Source organism: Homo sapiens, chromosome 5 (assembly GCF_000001405.40).
Source record: "Homo sapiens chromosome 5, GRCh38.p14 Primary Assembly".
Taxonomy (NCBI): Eukaryota; Metazoa; Chordata; class Mammalia; order Primates; family Hominidae; genus Homo; species Homo sapiens.
In genome coordinates this window covers 93,939,956-93,964,177 of record NC_000005.10, presented here as the reverse complement: position 1 = coordinate 93,964,177, position 24,222 = coordinate 93,939,956, and the positions used below count along the sequence as shown (strand labels likewise).

The following is a 24,222-nucleotide window of genomic DNA, read 5'->3' as shown; positions in this document are numbered from 1 at the left end:
ACCCTTTCTCATTTCACTGGAATAATTTATTTTTATTTATTTGTAGTAAACCAGTGCAGTTTTTGTTACATTAGACATTCACTATCTCTTTAAATATTTCTTGGTTTTTAAAAATATGTCTTATTTCTACACATAGTATGTTGTTTCCTCTATACATTCCCAAATTCATTCCTGGTGCTTCCTGTTTCATAACCCTGCTCCTTCCCTTTTTGGCAGAACCTTTTTTTGAATCTTGCACATTTTGACATTTCAGAGTGAAAAAGTTTGAGATTTGTTCTCAGACTCAAATTGTCAAAAAACAAAACGAAACAAAAAACACAAACCCCTGTTATTTTAAATGTAAACCACAAAATATTAAGCTTTAAAATGAAGAGATTGTAATCGTGTGTGAAACGGTGGTTGGACTAGATTGGAGGATCTTTGCCGTCCCTGACAACTTTATGATTTTATGATATATAAGAATCTGGGAGACTTAATGAAAGTAGTTCATTTAAGGCACAACACTTTGCATATAGATAATTTTGTTTGCATGAAATGTTGCACGAGTTTTAAAAATTCTTTGGATAGTGCTATTTTATTATAAATTCGAGGGTTTGAGGATTTCTTAATATTGTCCCCTCTCCAGAACTGATTCCATAGTTCCTTTTTTAAAGGAAACCTTTTTATTTGATTTTCCGTAAGTAACCTCAAGTGCAAGATCACATTATTAGTCATTCACTCATTATTCATTTATTCAACATATATTTATTTAAATGTTTTTTAGGTGATGGACACTGGTCCAAGTGCTTATGATGGATTAGTCAATAAAATATTATTCTGTGTAACAGCTACATCAACCCTTGGTTTATTTGGAAATTTTTCTTCCTTTACAGACAAGATTTTAGTACCTTTCTGGGAATGAATATACCAGTCTTTTTTGAATTTAAACTTACTGTCTTAGTTTTGACTTTAGGCCTAGCATTTTACTTCATTTAAAGTATATATTGAAATTTGGTCTTCTGGAAAGTCAGGGTAGAATTTTGTCACTTTGCCCAGTTTTCCTTTCTTGTTAATTTTATTTCTTTCAGAGTTTCTGAAGAATGATATTTAAAGAGCATTAGGTTAATTTATTGATACAACACAATTAATATTGAGTCTGCTAACTCTATAATACTTCTAGTTCTAGGGAACCCTTAAACTCACTTCAGTCTCCAAATTTCTAGAACAAATCACAAAATAATTGGCTGTATACAGCATGTTATATGTTTAAGTTTCATTATTGATCTCTATAGATGGAAGAGAACTCTGTATTATGGATCTGATTATCCTTTGATTTTAAATTTGGAATATAAAGCTAATAAGCAAGAGAGATTTACTTTATATGAAACTTAAGCATCATGCCCATCTTTGGTTAATAAAGTTTCCCTTATTTTGTAAACTTAAAAACTCTGAATTTTGTCTTAGGAAATTAATATTTCCCTTTAAATTATCACATATTTGGTACTGTTGTGAAACTTCTCTTCACAACTATTTTTCAATAGCTATTAGCTTTCTCCCGAGCTCTCTTAAATCTCAGAGTGAGAGTGGGTTTTTGTATGTGGGTGTCTGTAAATAGTTGTTCTTTTTACTTAAAGAATACCATCAAACCTTTTTTTTCCTGGTGATGAACTCTTTTAGTTTTATAGTTGAAACTATTTTAAAAGGGAAAAAGAACCATTTTTTAAATGACAGCTCTTTGTGGAACCCATGATTTGATAGTAAACATTATGATCATGCCTATGTTTAATCCACATCTCTCATAAATAGGCATAAAGTATTCTCAATTATAGTAAAATATCTCATACTTGTATAGAACTCTGGAGACATGAATTAACAACTTCACTACAAATTTTCACGTAGTTTATTACATGCATCATGTTTCAGCAATTAATGGTGTTCACGAGTATTCCACAATGAATTGGTGACTGCTAAAATTGTTTGGTGCAGTCTTACCAACCAAAAGGTGTCTGAGATTGATTTGTAATAAAGTGAGGTGGTTCGCTGGAATGACCATTATGTGTATTCCTTAATGAAAGCTTAGCTTAATAAATTACCACTGTTTGAAGATAAATGGCCTTGGAACAGCCGTATGTTCAAACTTAATTAGGTTAATGAAGAAGAAATTATTTTATTAATATAGGTATCTTACTATTTAAAATTAGCACTATCTTTATAGAAAGTACATTGTAGTTACCATGTGCACAGTCAGAGTTCTGTGTAAACTGAGGTGAATATTAGCCAATGACCAGCTAAAATACTGCTCTTACCCCTTACTCATTAATATTGTTACATTTTTCATTTTCATTGTTGTTTTTCTTTAATATTCTGATATTCTCATATTTTGAAAGTCAACTTTTCTCAGTATTCAAGTAAAACTTTAATTTATTCATGGCTACCTTAATTTGTAGCCCCTTAAAAATTATTTAGCAGTGTTTTTTTTTAAAATGTGATTCCCTTTTCCCTCTTTTTTCTTTTTTGAGACAGAGTCTCACTCTGTTGCACAAGCTAAGTGCTGTGGTGCAGTCATGGCTTAGTGCAGCCTTGACTTCCTGGCCTCAAGCAATTCTCCAGCCTCAGCTTGCCAAGTAGCTGGGACTACAGGTGCACACCACCACACCTAGCTAATTTTTGATTATTTGTAGAGACAGGGTCTCACTATGTTGCCCAGGTTGGTTTCGAACTCCTGGACTCAAGTGGTCCTTTATCGAGCAGCATTTTAATATAAAAAATACATTTTTATCATCTGAAAATAAGTTTCTTTCAGTTCTAAGTGATTACTGTGGACTTCAAAGTGCCAGTATTCCATTGCTTAAAAAATTGACTGAGTTTCTTGGTAACAGGGGACTTAGTCAAATAGGAAAAAAGAGACAGTGATCAGCACCTACTGGAATATCTGTACTACAGGTTTTTTCATGAAGGTGAATAGATATCCATCTCCATAGCCATTCCAGGATCCATTAAGGCCTCACTGACCTTAAGAGACACTTTTCTTTGTGCGTGTTTAGACATAGTGTTTGGTAATTGAGTGACTAGAAACCCCTGTGGCCTCTTTCTTGTTATACACTGACAGCTCTGCCTTTCAATTTTTTTATTTTGTTCTTATCATCATTACTTTTTTTTTAGGCTTCTTTAACTGAGCAATTCTCCTATTTTTATATAATGTTCCTAGGTAAAAGGGAATTTTTCTTCTTAGGTTTGGTTTTCCTGTGTCTGTCATCCACTTATCTTTCTGTGTGGCTGTAGTCATATTTATTGTCATCATTATACTTTGTTTACTCTGGACATAGCATGCAGGTGAAGCTAATATGATTGTGTTACACTTCATATCTCTCTTCCTGTATTTTTAGCTATTGCTAATAAAATTATAGTTATGTCATTTTAATTCTTTAACATTGTATAGCTCTTGTAAAATTCTCTATAATTATGTACTAGTTTAATCTTCAGTATATGCTTTCTGAACCAGGCAAGTATTATAACCATTTTAGAGGATCCATTATTTAGTTAAATGTCTTTTATCTAAAGGAAGTCACTGGTGAGGCTTGATAAGATTCCTCATTCCAAAAGTTTATTGTTTTTAATTACTGAGTGCCTACAATGTGCTAGGTTTTATTTTAGGTACTGAGACTATATAAGTGGATACAAACGAGAGAACTCTGTGCCTGCCTGGACTTACGTTCTAGTGGAGGGAGCAGGCCGTGAATAAACACATTTGCAAAAATGTAGAGTAAAGCATACAATATGTTAGATCTTGGTATGTGCCGTGGAGGAAAATAAAACAGGGAAGGGGACTATGGAATTCTCGGGACATGTTTGGAATTTTAAAAGTGGTAGTCAGGGAAGGCTTCAATGAAAAGGTGTTATTTCTTCTTTAAGACCTGTGTCCATGCTGCTCTTGCTGAAATAATTGCCATTTTTGCTGTGTTTGCACAAATGCCTAAGCCATCTCTTACTGAAACTAGCCTGATTGTTTTAGAAGTACAGATATTTTATTTTATTTTATTTTATTTTATTTTTCTCTTCCTAAGCGTAATGACTGGGAGTATTTAGAATCCAGGGCTTTTTTTGGGGGGGGGGGGGGCATCTAGAGTTTTTGTATACTTCCTATTTTGATAATTGTATGAACATATACAGTTGACAAAGTGAAGAGCTATTACGTTACACAATATGTGGATTGACCTTCTTTATGTAAGAGTACCAGCCACCAGAATGTCAACTTTCTGCTTGATCTGGCTATTGAAAGGCTTCCATTTCCAGTCACTCGCCAGTGCTGATGTGGTATACCACTCAGTGTGTCATGGCATATGTAACAAAAGGTTGGGAAGTTATCTCTTTCTAAAAGTGTTTTGTGTCTTTCAAATGTAAATCATACATCATATAGTTAACAATCTAAATATTAAGTACAATCAAAATGGATAAAAATATTTACTTTTTATTCTGTAAGTAACTAGTTTATAAAGTAAGTTCATTGGAGTACATAATGTGGCTTTGTAAAAATAATTGTTATATAATCCTGTGTTCACAATCTGAATGAAATTTGGAAGTCCATTTACATAGATCAGGTAAGAATAGAATAGATGGTTAGTTTTTAAATAGTTTCCTCTTCTTCCCCTTAAAAGTTTAGTGGTATTCCTGGCTGATATATGATTTTCCAATACGTCTATCTCCAATTTTAGTTTTCTATTTTTTATTATAGGTGCAATATATTTCTGTTATACAACTATAGACTTATAGTTGTGTGACCGTGGGCAACTTATTTAAACTCCCTAAGCCTCAATTTCTTCATCTATAAATCAATATAATAATAGTACCACCTAAATGGGTTGTTATTGAATGAGATAATGTTTTTACAACAGGTAGCATAGCAGCTAGACTATAGGAGGCACTAAAAAAGTAGTTATTTTTATTTACAATGATAATATAATACTAAATATACAATAATAATGAAGAGAAACATATTACCAATATTTTTTGTATTTTTATATTTAAATTACTATCATGTCTTGTCCCATCCAACTAATATATAATTGTTAACCTCTACTGAATATTTTAATTTTGTGTTAAAATTGTTTTTTACTTCTATAATTCTATAGTAACCATTTAATACTTTGTAACAGCCATTAGTTGTTTTTTCATTTATGTGTATGCCTGATCAGAAGACATTTATTTATTATTTAATTTTATTTAATTACAGGTAGATGCCACTGAGAGTGAACCAAAGAGTTTTATCTTTATGAGTGAGGATGCTTTGACAAATCCACAGAAACTGATGGTTTTAATTCATGGTAGTGGTGTTGTCAGGGCAGGGCAGTGGGCTAGAAGACTTATTATAAATGAAGATCTGGACAGTGGCACACAGATACCGTTTATTAAAAGAGCTGTGGCTGTAAGTACAATTTCCTGGGTTTTTTTTTTTGGCATTTTATAGTACTGTTTTATTATATGTTTTTATGTTTCTTCAAAAAGTATATCCTAAGCATAATCTTATCTTTGGGTTGTTATTATTTATTTTACTTGTATGAAAGATTATTCTGCATTATTTTGCAGTTACAAAGAAACACAAAGTGGCATCTTGAGCATACAAAGATTTAAATAATGTCTTTTGAGTGAATTATTTTTCTAAAATATTTTTAATCCTGTGAAATATGACAGGGTTAATATTTTCTAAAAATATTTTTAATCCTGTGAAATATCAATTATCAAACTATCAAATATTTATCAACATTATTGAAAATAACTTCTGACAAAAATATCATGACTGCTTTTGTAAACCTTTGCCTACCTAATTTGGTAAAGTTAGAAACTAAAGGAGATCTGCTACTTTGAATTAATCTCATATTATTTAAAGGAAGAGTTGGAATAACTAAATTTTTTTGTCGTTTCTTTAAAATGTTTTTTAGAGCCCACAAATAAAATGCTTTAAGCATGAGACATAGACATACAGAATGGCAAAATGTAATGTTTAATGAATACTTTATTCTTATTTGCATTCAAACTTTTTAGAAACTCCTATTTTTAAATTGTGTTCAAGGTTTCTTTTCTTGCAATAGTGAAATGTTTTTCTGACATAATATTGGCATATTTTAATGTTTGACTGCTTTTGTTTTACTATTGCATTCATAAGTTCCATAGTGAACAGCCCAATTTTGCAAAGTGTGAATTTCTTTCACATGAGTAGATTTTTTTTTTAGAAAAACATAAACTGATATCTTGTATCAGTTTTGTAAAAAGTAAAAAGTCTTTTGTAAAAAGACTTTTGTAAAAAGTAAAGGAATATATGTGTCCATGTAGGCTTTATTTGTTTTATTTATAAGAATTATTACGTTTGTAATTAAAATTAGAAGGGATTTCTTTAATACGCTGATGATTACAAAAGTCAAAGGTAACATGTTCTCTATTCTGTTAACTCAGAAATGAGAAATGAAGGCTCAGCCCAGCTCCTAAAAAACATTTTGGTTAATAGATTTTGAAACCCTTAAAATGCTAAAAGTAGAATTTCTTAGGTTAACTATATGTTTTTTTTTCCCACTTTTTGTGGATAGGCAAAGAATGGAAAGATACTACTTTTGATCTGGTTGCTAATTTCGACAGTGTATATTTTAGTAGAATTGAAGTAACAAAAATAAATTGAAGTTTAGACTAAATTAACTCACATAAAATATTATGTTTAAACTGTTTCGGATTTCAGGTTTTAAATAGTGAAATGAACTTTCTCTCTGACACATTTGTTTGTAGTTAGAACAGATCCTGTCTATGTATTTTCGGAAGAACATTATATGTAAAATGTGTTCACAATTTGATGAATATTTGAAAATATAACTTAGTAAAGAAAATCGGATGCTTTCAACATGCAGTGCTAGGTGAAATATTTTATGTAGTTATGTTGTCCCTGCTATAGATCACCTAAGCCTTTCCTATTCTGGAATATTTTATTGTTGTGTAAAGATTTCGCAGGGAAAGTCTATATGGAAAACCATGCCAAACATGTTTGTTTGAACAAACTTTGTGGTGATATCCCAAACAGGAGGGAGGAAGTTTGTCAGTAACATTACAATAGTAAGTCATTTTGTTCTTATAAGTAGGAATAGTGTTTTGGGGATAACAGCATTTCACTGTCTTGATTTTTTTCTTCTTAAAAAAATGGCAATTCATGATTCCTTGAAAAGAAGCAGCTGATTTCTAAGCATGCAGCACACGTAAAAATTTTAGTTTATGTATTTAATTCTCCTTATTTCTTAAAAAAATGAATATGAACATTATTATGGTAATTTTCTTCCTGGTGATTTAGAAACAGATCACTTTTAAATCTGGATAAAGTGATTTTACTACTTTGACTTTACCTTTTCATAGTGTTTTCTTCAAGGGTTGCTCTGTGGATGGGGAGGTGTTGGTTGAGGGAAAGATGATGGTATTTTAAGATGCAGGCAGAGGAAGACTAATAAACAGGGAATAAGAAGCTGTCCCATTCTTACTTTTTTTTTTTTTTAAATTAGGCTAGCTCTGCTTTTGTTTTTATTTGTTTGGACTTTTTCTAAAGTTTTATTTAAAGAAAGATTTCCAAAATTTTCCAGAAGTTAGAACCTCTGGTCTGTTTTTCATGATCTGTGGGTTTTCATATCACTACTGAAGTAAATTCTGATATTTTGGGGGCCACACAATATTATCTTTACTCAGTGTTGTTAATAATATTTCCTTATATTCCCTGCAGATTTTTGGTATAAGACTGAAATTCCTAAAATTGGATTCCTATCATTTTATGGTTAAAACCTTTTTTCAATAGTAGAGCCCTGTCTAACTGGACTGGTTTGTGAACAGTATTAAGTTTAAATATGTGAAGCCACTTAAGTTGAAAGGAGGACATGGTGAATATTGGAACCACTCCCACAACAGCCCCTGAGATTTCTTCACCAAATGCCCCAGGGCTCCACAGGTCATAGTTTGAAAATCATAGGTATTCTAATCCTTGCATTTTAGATACTTCAGGACTTTATTATCAAAAGTGTATTAAGAGTTCATGTTGGAGGAATGGTGCATATCAGATAAATCCCCACAAGTGCTTCTGAGGTTGCCATCGCTAATATTCTTGGTGTTTGACAATCTTCATTGCATAATGTGTTACCTGGAGTAAGAAACACTGTTTCACGTAGCCAAGTACCAATTATTCAGCCTCTGATTGTGCAGCTTTAGAGTTACTCATACTTGTTTCTTCTTTGATGGCCTTTACTCACATACACCTTTTTAGGCATTTCCACTGGTCTCTAAAAAGGGGTAAAAAGCAGGAAACTCTATTCATGCCCAAGAGGCAGTGGTAGGAGCAGATGTTGACGTGGTCCAGGCCCAGAGTGAGCACAGGGTCCTGGCCCGCCATGACCCAGCTTCCATAGCAATGTGGGCCAGGCAGTCCCACACAGCTGAGGGTTTATTTATATTTCTCAGGCTCTAGCTATAAGGGGAAATGTAGAACTTGATGGCAGTTATATTTGTGAAAACAAGGATTGAGAAGTTATAGAAACTATTTGTAATAAAATCAGTAAAAAAGTAAAAGTTTAAATTACAAAAGATACTTTCAAAATACTATCTATAAGTGATCTAGGTATTAGTTTTAATAATTTCTGATTACTTCACTAGGATAGCGTTTTCCCTAATTTCTCATAGATGGATTATTCAGAAGAATCTGCTATTTCCATAATTACTTACTTTGATTATAATATTCTTGCTATTATTTCTGAGTTTTAAAAATTAATGCTATTTTTATTAATGTAATTTATACAGTTTGGCTTCCATAACATGGTGGACTGAGCTTATTAATATGAACTTCTCCCAATAAACACACATAAAAATAATGAATAAAATGTAACAAAAATACTAAATACCTAGTTGTATATGAGTGTTCAAAAGACAGAGAAGGAGGAGAGTGGAGGCAGAGGAAGATGGCTAAATAGAAGCCTTCACCAAATGTCCTCACTGCAAGGACATCAAGTTAAACAACATCCACATACAAAAAAGCACCTTCATAAAAACCGAAAATCCGGTGAGCAGTCACAGTACCTGGTTTTAACATTATGTCACTGAAAAAGGCACTGAAGAGGGTAAGAAAGACACTCTTGAATCGCCGATGCCACCCCTTCCCTGTGTCCTGGCAGCAGCAGCATGGTGTGGAGAGAGAATCTGTGCATTTGGGGGAGGGAGAGCACAGTGACTGTGGGACTCTGCATTGGAACTCAGTGCTACCCTGTCACAGCAGAAGGCAACACCAGGCAGATCTCAGTTGGCATCCATGGAGGGAGCATTTAGACTAGCCCTACCCAGAGAGGAATCACCCATCCTAGCAATTGAAACCTGAGTTCCAGCAAGCCTCACAGCACGAGCCAAAGTGCTCTGGGGTGCTAAATAAACTTGAAAGGCAGTGTAGGCCATAAGGACTGCAATTCTTGGGCAAGTACTGGTGCTGTGCTGTGCTTGCTGTGCTGTGCTGTGCTGTGCTGTGCTTAGAGGCAGTAGACTTAGCAAGCAATCTACTGAGATACCAGCCAGGGCAGCTAGGAGAGTCCTTGTGCCACCCCTCCCCCAACCCAGGCAACACAGCTCGCAGCCCAAGAGAAACTCCTTCCCTCTGCTTGAGGTGCTTGAGGAGAAAAGAGGGAAAGGTAAAGAAGACTTTGTCTTGCAACTTGGATACCAGATGAGCCACCGTAGGATAGGACACTGGGCAGAGTCCTGAGGCTCCTATTCCAGACACTAGATTCCAGACGACATTTCTAGATGCATCCTGGGCTAGGAGGAACTCGCTGCCTTGGAGGGAAGGACCCAGTCATTGCAGGATTCATCACCTGACTAAAGAGCCCATGGGCCCTAACTAACCACCAGTGATACCAGGGAGTATGTCATGTGTCTTGGGTGAGACTGAGATGTGCGGCTTCAGGTGAGAGCCAGTACATTCCCAGCTGTGGTGGCAATGGTGAAAGATTCCTTCTGTTTGAGAAAAGCAGGGGGAAAAATAAAGGGGACTTTGTCTTGCATCTTAGGTACCAGCTCGGCCATAGTGGGATAGAGCCCCAACAACCTTCTTAGGGTCCTTGATTCTAGGCCTTGACTCTTGGGCAGTATTTCTGGACCTACTGTGGGCTAGAAGGGAGCCCACTGCCCTTACAGGAGAGTCCTAGGACTGGTAGCATTTACAAGTGGACTGAAGAGCCCTTGGATACTGAGTGAATATTGGCAGTAGCCAGACTGTACTTGCCACAGGTGTGGGGTAGTTGTGGCCATTGGAAGAAACTGCTGCTTGTGGAAAGGGGAGGGGAGAGTGGGAAGGACTTTGTCTTGTGTCTCGGGTGCTTAGCCACAGCAAAATAGAAAACTGGGTAGGTTCCTAGAGTATCTGACTCTATGCCCTGGCTTCCTGATAGTGTCTCTGGAGCTGCCCAGGGCTGAGGGGAACTCACTGTTCTGAAGGGAGGGATACAAGCCTGACTGGTTGTAGAACCGTAGTACCTTGAGTGGACACAGGTGGTAGTTAGGCAGTGGTTACTGCAGGCCGTAGGTGAGATGTAGTACCATACTGGCTTCAGGTCTGACCCAGTGCAGTGCCACTGGTGGCAGCCACAGGGTACTTGTGTCACCCTTCCCCCAGCTCAGGCAGCTCTGCACAAAGGGAAGAGACTCTGGGGGAAAGTAAGACAAGAGTTTCTGCCTGGCAATCCAGAGAATTCTTCCAGATCTTATCCAAAACCAACAAGGCAGTACCTCTACCAGTATGCCAGAGCCATAGCATACTAGGCTTCTGGTGACCCCTAATGCAGATATGGCTGCAGGGACCAAAAACATATAACACAATACCCAAGTGCCTTCGGATACCTGGAAAGCCTTCCCAGGAAGTAGGTGTGCCAACAAGCCCAGATTGCAAAGACTGCAATAAATACTTAACTCATCAATGCCCAGATACCGACAAACATCCGCAAGCATCAAGACTATCCAGGAAAACATGACCTCACCAGGTGAACTAAACAATGCACCAGAGACCAATCCTGGAGAAACAGAGATATATGACCTTTCAGACAGAGAATTCAAGATAGCTATGTTAAGGACACTTAAATAAACTCAAGCTAACACAGAGAAGGAATTCAGAATTCTATCAGATAAATTTAACAAAGAGATTGAAATAATAAAAAAGAACCTAGCAGAAATTCTGGAGTTGAAAATGCAGTTGAAAGACTGAAGAATGTGTGTTTTTTAATAGCTGAATTGATCAAGAAGAAGAAAGAATTGGTGAGCTTCAAGACAAGCTATTTATAAGAGACAAAATAATAAAGAATGAAACATGCCTAGAAGACTCTAGAAAAATGCCTCAAAAGGGCAAATCTAAGAGTTATTGACCATAAAGAAGTGGTAGAGAGAAGTAGAGGTAGAAAGTTTTTTCAAAAGGAAAGTAACAGAGAACTTCTGAGACCTAGAGAGAGATATCAATATCTATAACTTTCTAAGAAAGTTATGGAACTCCAAGCAGATTTAACCCAAAGAAGAATACATCAAGACATTTAATAAATTCCCAAAGGTCAAGGATAAAGAAATGATTCTAAAAGCAGCAAGAGAAAATAAACAAATAATATACGATGGAGCTCCAATACTTCTGGCAGGACACTTTTCAGTTGAAACCTTGCAGGCCAGGGGAGAGTGGCATGATATATTTAAAGTGTTGATGGTAAAAATCCTTTTACCCTAGAATACTATATCTGGGGAAAATATTCTTCAAACACAAAGGAGAGAGAAATAACAACTTTCCCAGACAAACAAAAGCTGAGTGATTTTATCCACACCAGACGTGTTCTACAAGAAATGCTAAAGGAAGTCAGGTAATGTGATTCTTCCAGTTTGGTTCTTTTTGCTCATAACAGCTCTGGCTACTGTCAGTGTTTTGTGGTTCCATATAAATTTCATGATTCTTTTTTCTATTTCTGTGAAGAATGTCATTGGTATTTTGATAGGGATTGCACTGAATTTGTAGATTGCTTTGGATACTATGTACATTTTAACAATACTGTTTCTTCTTCCCTCTACTCATCCTTTTATTACAAAGGTGGCAACTTCCAGGGTCTTACCTATATCCAGGGCTCTTAGTTTTAGTTCCCACCTCTTAGTCCCAAAGGTATAGATCATGTGTGTGTGATACAGATCATGTGTGACCTTGGGTTCATATCTTACCAGCTATCCCTTGAAGTTGCAACACCTTCCAGGGATTTACCACTGTGTTGTAAGTTATCTCTTATATTTAGGAAATCTTTTAGGCATTTAGGAAATCTTTTTCTTTTTCTTTTAATTTTTGTATGTACCTACGTGTATATATTTATGGGGTACATGAGATATTTTGATGCAGGCATACAATAAGCAATAATTACATCAGGCGTGAGCCACTTCACTTGACTTCACATTATATCATAGAGCTATAGTAACCAAAATAGCATGGTGATGGCATAAAAACAGACACATCAACCAATGGAATAGAATAGAGAACCCAGAAATAAATACATACATCTACAGTGAACTTATTTTTGATAAAGATGCCAAGAATATACATTGGAGAAAGGAAAGTCTGTCAATAAATTGTGCTGGGAAAACTGGCTATCCATATGCAGAAGAATGAAACTAGACCCCTATCTCTCACCATATACAAAAATCAAATCAAAATAGATTAAAAAATTTAAGACCTCAAACTATGAAACTACTACAAGAAAACATTAAAGAAACTCTCCAGGAAATTGGACTGGGAAAAGATTTCTTGATTAATACCCCATAAGCGCAGGCAACCAAAGCAGAAATGGACAAACGGGATCGCCTCAAATCAAAAAGTTCCCGTGCAACAAAATAAACAATCAAGTGGAGAGACAACCCACAGAAGGGGAAATAATATTTGCAAACTATCCATTGGACAAAGGACTAATAACCAGAATATATAAGGAGCTCAAACAACTCAATAGGAAAAAGAATCTAATAATCCAATTAAAAAATGTGTAAAAGATCCTAATAGACTTTTCTCAAAAGGAGACATGCAAGTGTCAAGCAGGCATATGATAAGGTGCCCAACGTCGTTGATCATCAGAGAAATGCAAATCAAAACTACAATGACATGTCATCTCACTCCAGTTAAAATGGCTTTTATTTTTATTTTATTTATATACTATTAGGACTTATTTTATTTTATTTTATTTTATTTTTTTTTTTTTTTGAGACAGAGTCTCACTCTGTCACCCAGGCTGGAGTGCTGTGGAATGATTTAATCTCGCTGCAGCCTCCACCTCCTGGGTTCAAGTGATTCTTCTGCCTCAGCCTCCCGAGTAGCTGGGATTACAGGCATGCACCACCATGCTGGGCTAATTTTTTGTATTTTTAGTAGAGACAGGGTTTGACCCTGTTGGCCAGGCTAGTCTCGAACTTCTGACCTCGTGATCTGTCCACCTTGGCCTCCCAAAGTGCTGGGATTACAGCGTGAGCCACTGTGCCTGGCCTATTTTATTTGTTTTATTTTTGAGACCGAGTCTTGCTCTGTCACCCAGGCTGCAGTGCAGTGGCACAAGCTCAGCTCACTACAACCTTCACCTCCCATGTTCAAGCGATTCTCATGCCTCAGCCTCCCGAGTCGTTGGGATTACAGGTATGCACCACCACGCCTGGCTAATTTTTGAATTTTTTGTAGAGACGGGGTTTCACCATCTTGGCCAGGCTGGTCTCAAACTCCTGACCTCAAGTGATCCACCCACCAAAATGACTTTTATTTAAAAGTTAGGCAGTAACAAATGCTGGTGAGGATGTGGAGAAAAGGAAACCTTTGTACACTGTTGGTAGAAAGGTAAATTAGTACAATGACTATGGAGAACAGTTTGAAGGTTCCTCAAAAAATGAAAAAAATAGATTTGTGTATGATATCTAGCAATCCCATTGCTAGGTATATACCCGAAAGGATGGAAATCAGTTTATCAAAGAGATATCTGCACTCCCATGTTCATTGCAGCACTCTTCACAATAGCCAAGATTTGGAAACAACCTAAGTGTCCATCAGCAGATGAATGGATAAGGAAAATGTGGTACATATATGCAATGGAATACTATTCAGCCATAGAAAAGAGTGAGATCCTGTCATTTGCAACAACATAGATGGAACTGGAGGTCGTTATGTTAAATGAAATAATCCAGGCACAGAAAGACAGACTTCACATGTTCTCACTTATTTGAGAACAAATTCAAATTTATTCTTAGTAAATAAAACTGAGAATTTATTGAGAATAAATTCTCAAATAAATAACAGCTAATAATTGAAAGTTTAACTCAGGGAGATAGAGAGTGGAATGATGGTTACCTGAGGCTGGGAATGATAATGGGTTGTAGGGGAGGGAGGATAGTTAATGGGTACAAAGCTATAGTGAGATAGACTGAGTAAGATCTTGTATTTGGAGCACAGTAGAGTGATTGCAGTCAGCAATGATTGATTGTACATTTAAAAAGAACTGAAAGAGTATAATTGGATTGTAACACACAGGATAAATGCTTGAGGTGATGGACACCCCGTTTACCTTGATGTAATTATTATTACTATTATTATTATTATTTTTATTATTAGAGACTCTCGCTCTGTTGCCAGGCGGGAGTGCAGTGGCGTGATCTCGGCTCACTGCAACCTCCGCCTCCCTGGTTCAAGCGATTCTCCTGCCTCAGCCTCCCAAGTAGCTGGGACTACAGGCGTGTGCCACCACGCCCAGCTAATTTTTGTATTTTTAGTAGAGATGGGGTTTCACCGTGTTGGCCAGGATGGTCTTGATCTCTTGACCTTGTCATCTGCCCGTCTCGGCCTCCCAAAGTGCTGGGATTACAGGCATACAATAAGTAATAATTACATCGGGTGTGGGCCGGGAGAAGTGGCTCACGCCTGATGTAATTATTACTTATTGTATGCCTGCATCAAAATATCTCACGTACCCAGTAAATATATACACCTAGGTACGTACAAAAATTAAAAGAAAAAGAAAAGGATTTCCTAAATGCCTGAGTGTAAGAGATAACTTACAACACAGTGGTAAATCCCTGGAAGGTGTTGCAGCTTCAGGGGTTAGCTAGTAAGATATGAACCCAAGGCCACACATGATCTGTATCACATACACATGATCTATATCTTTGGGACTGAGAGGTGGGAGCTAAAACTAAGAGTCCTGGATATAGGTAAGACCCTGGAAGTTACCACCTTTGCAATAAAAGGATGAGTAGAGGGAAGAATCAGTTCACTGCTTAGAGGTGAAAGGTTTCCAGCCAGGCTTTGTGGCTAGTGCCTGTAATGCCAGCTACTTAAGAGGCTTAGGTGGGAAGATCACTTTAGCACAAGAGTTTGAAGATGCAGTGAGCTGGAGAAAGGATTCCCTATTTAATAAATGGTGCTGGGAAAACTGGCTAGCCGTATGTAGAAAGCTGAAACTGGACCCGTTCCTTACACCTTATACAAAAATTAATTCAAGATGGATTAAAGACTTAAACGTTAGACCTAAAACCATAAAAACCCTAGAAGAAAACCTAGGCATTACCATTCAGGACATAGGCATGGGCAAGGACTTCATGTCTAAAACACCAAAAGCAATGGCAACAAAAGCCAAAATTGACAAATGGGATCTAATTAAACTAAAGAGCTTCTGCACAGCAAAAGAAACTACCATCAGAGTGAACAGGCAGCCTACAAAATGGGAGAAAATTTTCACAACCTACTCATCTGACAAAGGGCTAATATCCAGAATCTACAGTGAACTCAAACAAATTTACAAGAAAAAAACAACCCCATCAAAAAGTGGGTGAAGGACATGAACAGATACTTCTCAAAAGAAGACATTTATGCAGCCAAAAAACACATGAAAAAATGCTCATCATCACTGGCCATCAGAGAAATGCAAATCAAAACCACAATGAGATACCATCTCAAACCAGTTAGAATGGCAATCATTAAAAAGTCAGGAAACAACAGGTGCTGGAGAGGATGTGGAGAAATAGGAACACTTTTACACTGTTGTTGGGACTGTAAACTAGTTCAACCCTTGTGGAAGTCAGTGTGGCGATTCCTCAGGGATCTAGAACTAGAAATACCATTTGACCCAGCCATCCCATTACTGGGTATATACCCAAAGGACTGTAAATCATGCTGCTATAAGGACACATGCACACATATGTTTATTGCGGCACTATTCACAATAGCAAAGACTTGGAACCCAAATGTCCGACAATGATAGACTGGATTAAGAAAATGTGGCACATATACACCATGGAATACTATGCAGCCATAAAAAATGATGAGTTCATGTCCTTTGTAGGGACGTGGATGAAATTGGAAATCATCATTCTCAGTAAACTATCGCAAGAACAAAAAACCAAACACTGCATATTCTCACTCATAGGTGGGAATTGAACAATGAGAACACATGGACACAGGAAGGGGAACATCGCACTCTGGGGACTGTTGTGGGGTGGGGGGAGGGGGGAGGGATAGCATTAGGAGATATACCTAATGCTAAATGACGAGTTAATGGGTGCAGCACACCAGCATGGCACATGTATACATACGTAACTAACCTGCACATTGTGCACATGTACCCTAAAACTTAAAGTATAATAATAATAATAATAATAAAAAGAAGATACAGTGAGCCAAGATTGTGTGACTGCACCTCACCTGGGTGACAGAGTGAGACCTCATCTCTAAAATAAAAAATAAAAGATAATTATTAAAAGGAGGTTTCTTTGCTAAAGGTACCAGGTAGGGTAAATAAACAACTTATCTTGGGAAATAGGAGACCCAGACCCTAACCCAGAAGTGGATTTGGATTTGCAGTTTGAATTTAGGTGACACACTTAATGTGAAAATCGTAAACACTGTGATTAATATAAAAATGAATTCTGGACCAATGAAACCTTTGGGGCACCTGGCAGAAGCAAGCGTAATACTGCCATATAGGAACACTTTACAACCTAGAATAAATCCCTACTGAAGATGAATTCAGTCAGAAACTACAGATTATATGAAGAAATGATTCATCACAAGAAAAGTCAGATCATTAAACTATCAAAAGAGAATTAGTAAATTGAAAGCTAGAGTTAAGGAAGACAGTATGCAGAATATAGCACAGAGGAAATGAGAAAAAATATGACATTAAAAAGTCATGGAAAATAGAATAACATATAATACTCTTCTATCAGATGTTTCAAAGAAGCAACAGAAAAAAATAGGAGAAAAGCATGTATTAGTGGCTGAATGTTTTTGAGAGTAAAAGCATAAATCATGTTGTTGAAGAAGTGTGGCATATCTAAGGCAAGATAAATGAAAATAAATGTACATTTAAATATATTAGAATAAAACTGTGATTCATACATGTAATTTTAAAAATCAAGTAAAACCAAGACATAGTATCAAAATAAGTGTTATCTTTTCCTAATCCATCGCTACCTGTTAGTCCTGTTCCTTAGATGTAATCATTTTCAATACATTTTGGTTTTATTTATACTCATTGTATCCATATTTTAAAATTATAGTTCTGTCTTTTGATTTATCATTCACTTTCTGTTATGGTAGAATCAGGAATCAAGCTTTACAGTACTACTACAACCATAATATTGCTAATGGCTGAGCCAGGTAGATAATATGATTGCTTTTCATTTTTGATACAATATCTTTGTTTTCATGGAATTAATAATTTTCTAGTTTCTAATTTTTTATGTATTTTTAATTCAGATCTTCATTCGTCTCTTAATTTTTGACATGATTTAACTTATCAGATAATCTCATAGTTTCATGTTCTTCCTCTGGAGTACTCTCTTTTGGAACCCTGTGGACTCTGTTTCAGTCTTGACTGGTCACTTTCTAAGCCTGCTTACCTGTGTATTATCCTGGGTTTCACTTTAGTTTCTCTCTTGTCTTCAATATCAATGTCTTGTCTTCCTGTATTGTTAGATACAGGAAGCTCCTGTTTCCTGTATCTAATGATCTGTGTTTTCTTGATATATGCCCTCATTTTGTTGGACCCATCAAGTAGAAGATAAATTTTTGAACCCTTGCATTTCTGAAAAATGCCTTCAGTCTACTTGTTCACTTTATTTTAAAGATTCAAAAGACATAGAATTCCAGGTAGAAAATACTTTTTATTGAGATTTGAAGGATTTGTTTCATTGTCTTCTAGTTTCCAGTGTTTTAATTTGAAAGTCTTGAAACCATTTTGGCCTTGAATCCTTTTGTTCCACTCTATGTAAGCTTCTCCTTCTCCCTGGTGTTAAGAAGTGAATCTCACTGCTTTTAAGAAATTTCCTGAGTCTTGGTATTTTGTTTCATTGTTATTTGTTTCATTGTTTGGCACTTGGTGATGTCTTTCCATTTATATTCACTCATGATCTTTAGTTCTGAGAAACTTTTTTTGTATTGTTTGTTGATAATTTTACACTTCTCTATTTAGCTCTTATGTGGTTTTGAGTTACTGGAATGAGTATCTTATCCATTCTTTCTTATTTTTATTCTATATTTCCAGTCATTTCTGGGAGATTGCCTACTTTTTCTTTTAACCATTCCATAGAATTTTTAAAGTTTTTCAATCATATTTTGAAATGGATCTGTTTTTTAAAATCATTATGCAGATTTCTGATTAGTACGCCTGATTTGAGCTTTGTGTCTCTCTTCTACGCTTTAATGTCCCATAGTCTAGTACTTCCATAGATTACATTTCTTTTTTTTTTTTTTTTTGAGATGGAATCTTGCTCTGTCGCCCAGGCTGCAGTGCAGTGGCGCAATCTCAGCTCACTGCAACCTCCACCTCCCAGGTTCAAGCAATTCTTCCTGCCTCAGACTCCCAAGTAGCTGGGATTACAGGCACCTGCCACCACACCTGGCTAATTTTTGTGTGGCCAGGCTGATCTCGAACTCCTGACCTCAGGTGATCCTCCCACCTCAGCCTCTCAAAGTCTTGGGATTATAGGCGTGAGCCGCCACACGTGGCCTATAGATTACATTTCTGCAAAGGAAAAATCTCTTGTCTCTTACAGTGTTGGCCACACATGTCAGATTATGACCTGGTTTTTGGTTTTCTGGTGTCTGTTTTTTAGAGAGTGGGGTAACTGCTCCTTACTTGAACTTACAACTAAAGCCCCTGTTTTTAGTGTTATGGCCTACCCTTACATTCCAAGGTTTTCCAAGATAACTGGTGCCCCAATTTCTGAGTATTTCTGGACTTCTATGGGTGAGTTGGCTTACTTTTAAGTCATTTTATCCTTCTGGAGGCACTTAAGTTTGAATTTTTGCTGTAATGTCAAGCCAGTACCTACTCCTCCATTAACTTAGTCTTCTACAAATATATACAGAGGTGACATCTGTATCCTCCATTTTCTCTTCTACCATTTATTTTGTCCTGATGTTTGAATACCACCCCTCTTTCTTCTTTTTCATCTCTTTCTGTCTTTTGTTCTTTTGTTCTTTCATTCTTCTCTTCTTCCCATTCTTTCCCTCCTTTTCTCCCTCCTCCCTATCTCCTCACCCCTCCCCTCCCCTCCCCTCTCCTGCCCTCTCCTCTCCTCTTTTCTTTTCATGAGGCAGAGTGTCACCCAGGCTGGAGTTGAGTGGCATGATCGTGACTCACTGCAGCCTTGACCTCCTGGGCTCAAGTGATCCTCCCACCTCATCCTTCTGGGTAGTTGAGAGTATAGGCACACTTTTATTTATTTATTTTTTTGGCGAGATGGGGTCCTACTATGTTGGCGAGGCTGGTCTCAAACTCCTGAGCTCAAGCAATCCTTCTGCGTCAGCCTTCCAAAGTGCTGGAATTACAGGTGTGAGCCACCATGTCTGGCTTTTCTTTTTCTTCAATGAGATTTTAGTGACATTTGTGGCAAGAATAGAGATAATTAAATAATTCAATGTAGCATTTTAATTAAATATTTTTTTAACCTGGCCGTTCCGGTGACAGGTAGTTCACTTTACAACTTGTATCTTTTTAAAACAAATAATGTTAAAGTAAATTTATATATAACCAAATTCTTTGTAAACCTCAAAGATGACCTCCTTTTGTAGCAATATTCATCACACTAGAAAATTTTAGGATTTTCTACTAGAAATTATTTAAATTATAATGAAACTAAAGACTACCTAAACTGTTACTTGACTGCAATATGAACTGAATGCTTTGAAAGTTGAGTTAGAGTTTTTTAGTTTCTAAATCATGTCTCTTTTCGTAAGCTATGGCTTAATTTTCTATTCTGGCCATTAATGTTTTGATTCTTTTCATTTCATTTTGATTTTTCCCCGTTTTTTGATGAATAAATTTGAAAAGCTGATTGAATACAGGATTAAGATCTTTTTTCACAGCATGGAGCCATTATAGATGGTTATCTAGAATATGGTGTGAAATTTTTCAGTAATTTCAGTAATAAACTTTTAGTTAACACGTTCTTAACTACAGCCCTCAACTCCAGTCTTCAAACTAAATACTGCAAGATCTTTCTATTTCAGCATAAGTATTTGACAAACTTGGTGACAGGAAGATTTTAACAGGGTTATAATGGATACCTATGCCTAGTAGATAATAATACGAAAATAAAAGTACTATATTAATATAGGACATGCTTATTTTTAAGAAGAGTAATGCCATCTAGCTGCTTATGAAAAATTAATATTTATGTAGTCTAAACAGAGTGTGGAGTATGGCAAAAGATTCTTGTTTAAGGGCTCAGAGAAAAAATATGAAAATTACTTGGCACTTTTAAATATACCTTTGTTCAAATGACTTACAGACTTTGATGCTTTTTTTGATAGTCATTGAAAGTATTTGTGAAAATTAAAGAGATACTTATTAAAACAAGCTACCATTTTTCAACATATCAGATTGGCAAATTATAAATTACTTGTTAATAAATTGATAATATCATATTTAAATATTAGTGAAAATGTAAATTGGAGTAATCATTTTAGATGGCAGGTTAGTAATATCTTCCAAAATTTAACATGTACACTAATCTTTGACCTTAAATTTCATTCGTAAGAATTTACACCAGAGCAGTGCATGAAGTATACATAGGGATGCTCATAACAGCAGTTTATAATAACACAAAACATTCTAACCAACTAAACATCCACCAGTAGGGAACATTTTATTTTATGATGGCATATTCATATCATGGAAGACTATGTAGTTATTAAAAATAACAAGTTGTATGTGTATATATGTGTGTTCATAAATCTGGAATGATGTCTAAGAGTTACCAGATAAAAACAGAAAAATGAGCTAATTTGTTTAAAAAGTACACTTACACATGTACACATCTACAGCTACATACATACATGGATACACATTAATGTTCCTGGAAGTTTATGCAAGAAACCACGAAGTTTCTTCTTTTAGATTTCATTTTCAGTTTTTCTCTTTATTTTTGTTTTATTTTTTCTTTGAGTAGGTTTTACTTTAATATTTAAAAAGATATTACTTTTATAATTAATATATTTTAAATAGTCATGAAATATGATTATTGTGATCTTGTAGTTATTGACTTAACTATTTCTAAGTGAACTTAACATGTAATAAATGTTTGAGTATAAAACTGCAAGCAGCTCCTTTGAATGATTATTGGGTTTTTTTTTCCCTTAAAGAGTGGTTGAATTTAAGCCACTGAAATTTATATTTCAAAAAAAGTTTTTTTAATAAACACAAATTTTTTTCTTATTTGAAATGTAAGACTTCTAAATTATAAGTTGAAACCAAGATCACTAATTCTAAATTTTAAAAGTAAACTTTGAGAGAAAATATAAATTAATGAAAATATGTTTTTACATTAGAGACTTCATAAAAGATTGTTGAAGCCAAAAATTCCAGAAAAGGTTAAAAGCTTAGCACATTACTGAATTGACAAGGTATACGAGGCCACCCCAGCCCCATGCCAGCAAAGAAAACAATGAGATGACAGCTCTAGTGTTTGGAGAGAGGTTGTTAACGACAGCTTATTCCTTTATGATTTCAACTCTTGACAGAAGACAGGTCTGCTTGTTGCATCATGGCAGATATATCATTACCTTCTGGCCCTGTCATGACTGAATGGGGTAGAGCGGGGAGAAACTATGTTCAGTTTTGAAAATCCAATTACCTTCTGGAATTTTGGTCACTGTTTTTGAGAGAGATATGATAAGCCATTCTGTAATAGCTGTTTGCATCTAGATTGTCTCTAGTACTGAACTAATTAACTAATAAAGGATATGCTTAAGTTCTTTCTATGGTCAAGTGAAGAGTAATCTGTGAGAGTATAGAGCACTTTGATATTCTGACATCATCCTAAGAAAAATATTACAAGGTCTCTTATGCCTAATATCTATCTATTCCTCTACCTGTGTCTGCACCTGGTTTCAAATAATTGTCACAGCTAACCTAGCTGTTTTCACTAAAAAGAGGAAAGACACTGAATTTTAAAACAATTAGATATTATTTTTACATGAAAAATATTGGTTAAAATTATAATTTGACCTTTGTATTTTTCAATGACATGCATATTTGAATTCTGTATTTTCTTGGCTACCTAAGAAGTGACTCTGGAGACTTAGAAAGAGAAAGAAAGGGTGTAGGTTTTTGAAAGTATGTCAAAAGGCTTGGGGTTTGTGTATGATCAGAATTTCAGTGGAGGTTGAGATGAGTTTAAATGCATAGAAGGCGAACATAAAAATCTTGTTTAATTTCTGTCATGTTGTTCTTTTTTGAGTCACTCTGATGTCTTTTTCAAATCTGCTTTTCTCTTGAGCTTTGTGCTACTATATCCACGATCTGGATTTTTTTTTTCTTCCTTTTATTTTGCTTTAAATGTCGATCCCTTTTCTGTGGTCCTTCCTTTAATCAGCTGAAGCAATCTGAATTGCTGCATCAGAGCTGTTTTGGGAGTGAGAGAGTGTGTAACATTGTGAAGGGTGAGATTTTCTGGGTAGAAGGTAACACCTCCTGCAGTTATAATCAATGCTTTGGACACTTTCAAGGAACGGGGAAGCCGTGACTTGCTCCAGGGTTAAACTTTTAGTATAACTTCCCTAGAGAAAAGTGTCATCAATAACTGGAATAATTAGTTGACAATTCTTGAGTAGCCTAGGTTTAAATTCAAAACATTAAAGATAGGTCAGGATTGCATTTCTCACTATACCTGTGGTTTCTGGTGTTTTTAGCCTTTATATTTTTATATTAAACATTATTTTAAAAACTCTTTTATTTCCATTAATTATCAGCTTATCCCCTGAGTTTCTTTAATTTGAGAAGAACTGAAGTAGAAAGAATGTTAGCTTTTGGTAGTAGGAAATAGTCTAAACTTGAAATAACTGAGACACTAAGCTATAAAGTAGGTAATTTGTTTATGAAAATATAGTTTACACTGTAGGCTTAAATTAACAAGCCTTAGATTAAATGTATTATATTTACAAAATCAGTAAAATAAGATATTTTAAAGAAAATAATGTCATACATGTGAACTTAAGAGTAAATAATAGCGTCCATAGGAATTGCTCAGTATGCTTCTGATACTATTTTTTTCTGATATTCTGATATTGTTTGATTTTATTCAACTGTTTGATGTAAATAGAAGGAATTTAAAAAATATTAATTTCACTATAAATTGCCTATTTCAATACATATTAGAAATTCTAACTAATACCTAATTATAAGTTAAAGATTTAATATGAAAAAGACATATCTACTAATTATTTATTTACAATGTGACATCCTTAAATTAAGACAGAATTTCAACAATGGTTCCTGGATAGTAACATAACAGTGTTTTAACTTTTTATCCAGAATGTATACTCTTTTGTTTTTCTAGACAGAAAACAAATCATGACTAAAATTTGTAGTGAAGTGTAAGAATTAGGTGGAATACAATTGGTATACTTTGCCTATTTAGAATAATGTACTTTCATATTTTAAAATGAATACGCTATTACCAGTTTACTCCAAATGTAAATATAACTTGTAACCTTGTACTAATAAGTATGCATTCAGATGTCAACAATCTTAAAATGTGTTTTGTTGCTTTGTGTGTATAATTTATATTGGAAAGCTGGTAACATGTTTATGAAATGGATATTCAGGAATGAGTATGCCTCAGAAAGATTGAACCTTTTGGAAGAAGACTAGTTAATAATGAAGAGCACAGATAGTGTGTTAGGTATACACTCTGAGTTTAAAAAAAAAA

General features: G+C 35.3%; 1 protein-coding gene across 35 annotated transcripts in view; it reads left to right on the top strand.

Moving 5' to 3' along the window:
* The window catches only part of ARB2A (ARB2 cotranscriptional regulator A), a 493,975-nt gene that overhangs the window by 147,522 nt on the left and 322,231 nt on the right, over positions 1–24,222 (top strand). For 30 of the 35 annotated variants that reach the window (XR_007058646.1, XM_005272110.4, NM_001163417.1 and 27 more), the window contains one exon: positions 5,210–5,401. The exons of the other annotated variants lie outside the window; for them this stretch is intronic. Coding sequence is in view for 29 of the 30 variants with exons in the window: in XM_005272110.4 (XP_005272167.1) it covers positions 5,210–5,401 (192 nt within the window). In the remaining variant the exon portion in view is untranslated. The remainder of the gene's footprint in view (positions 1–5,209; positions 5,402–24,222) is intronic. 35 annotated transcript variants of the gene reach the window in all.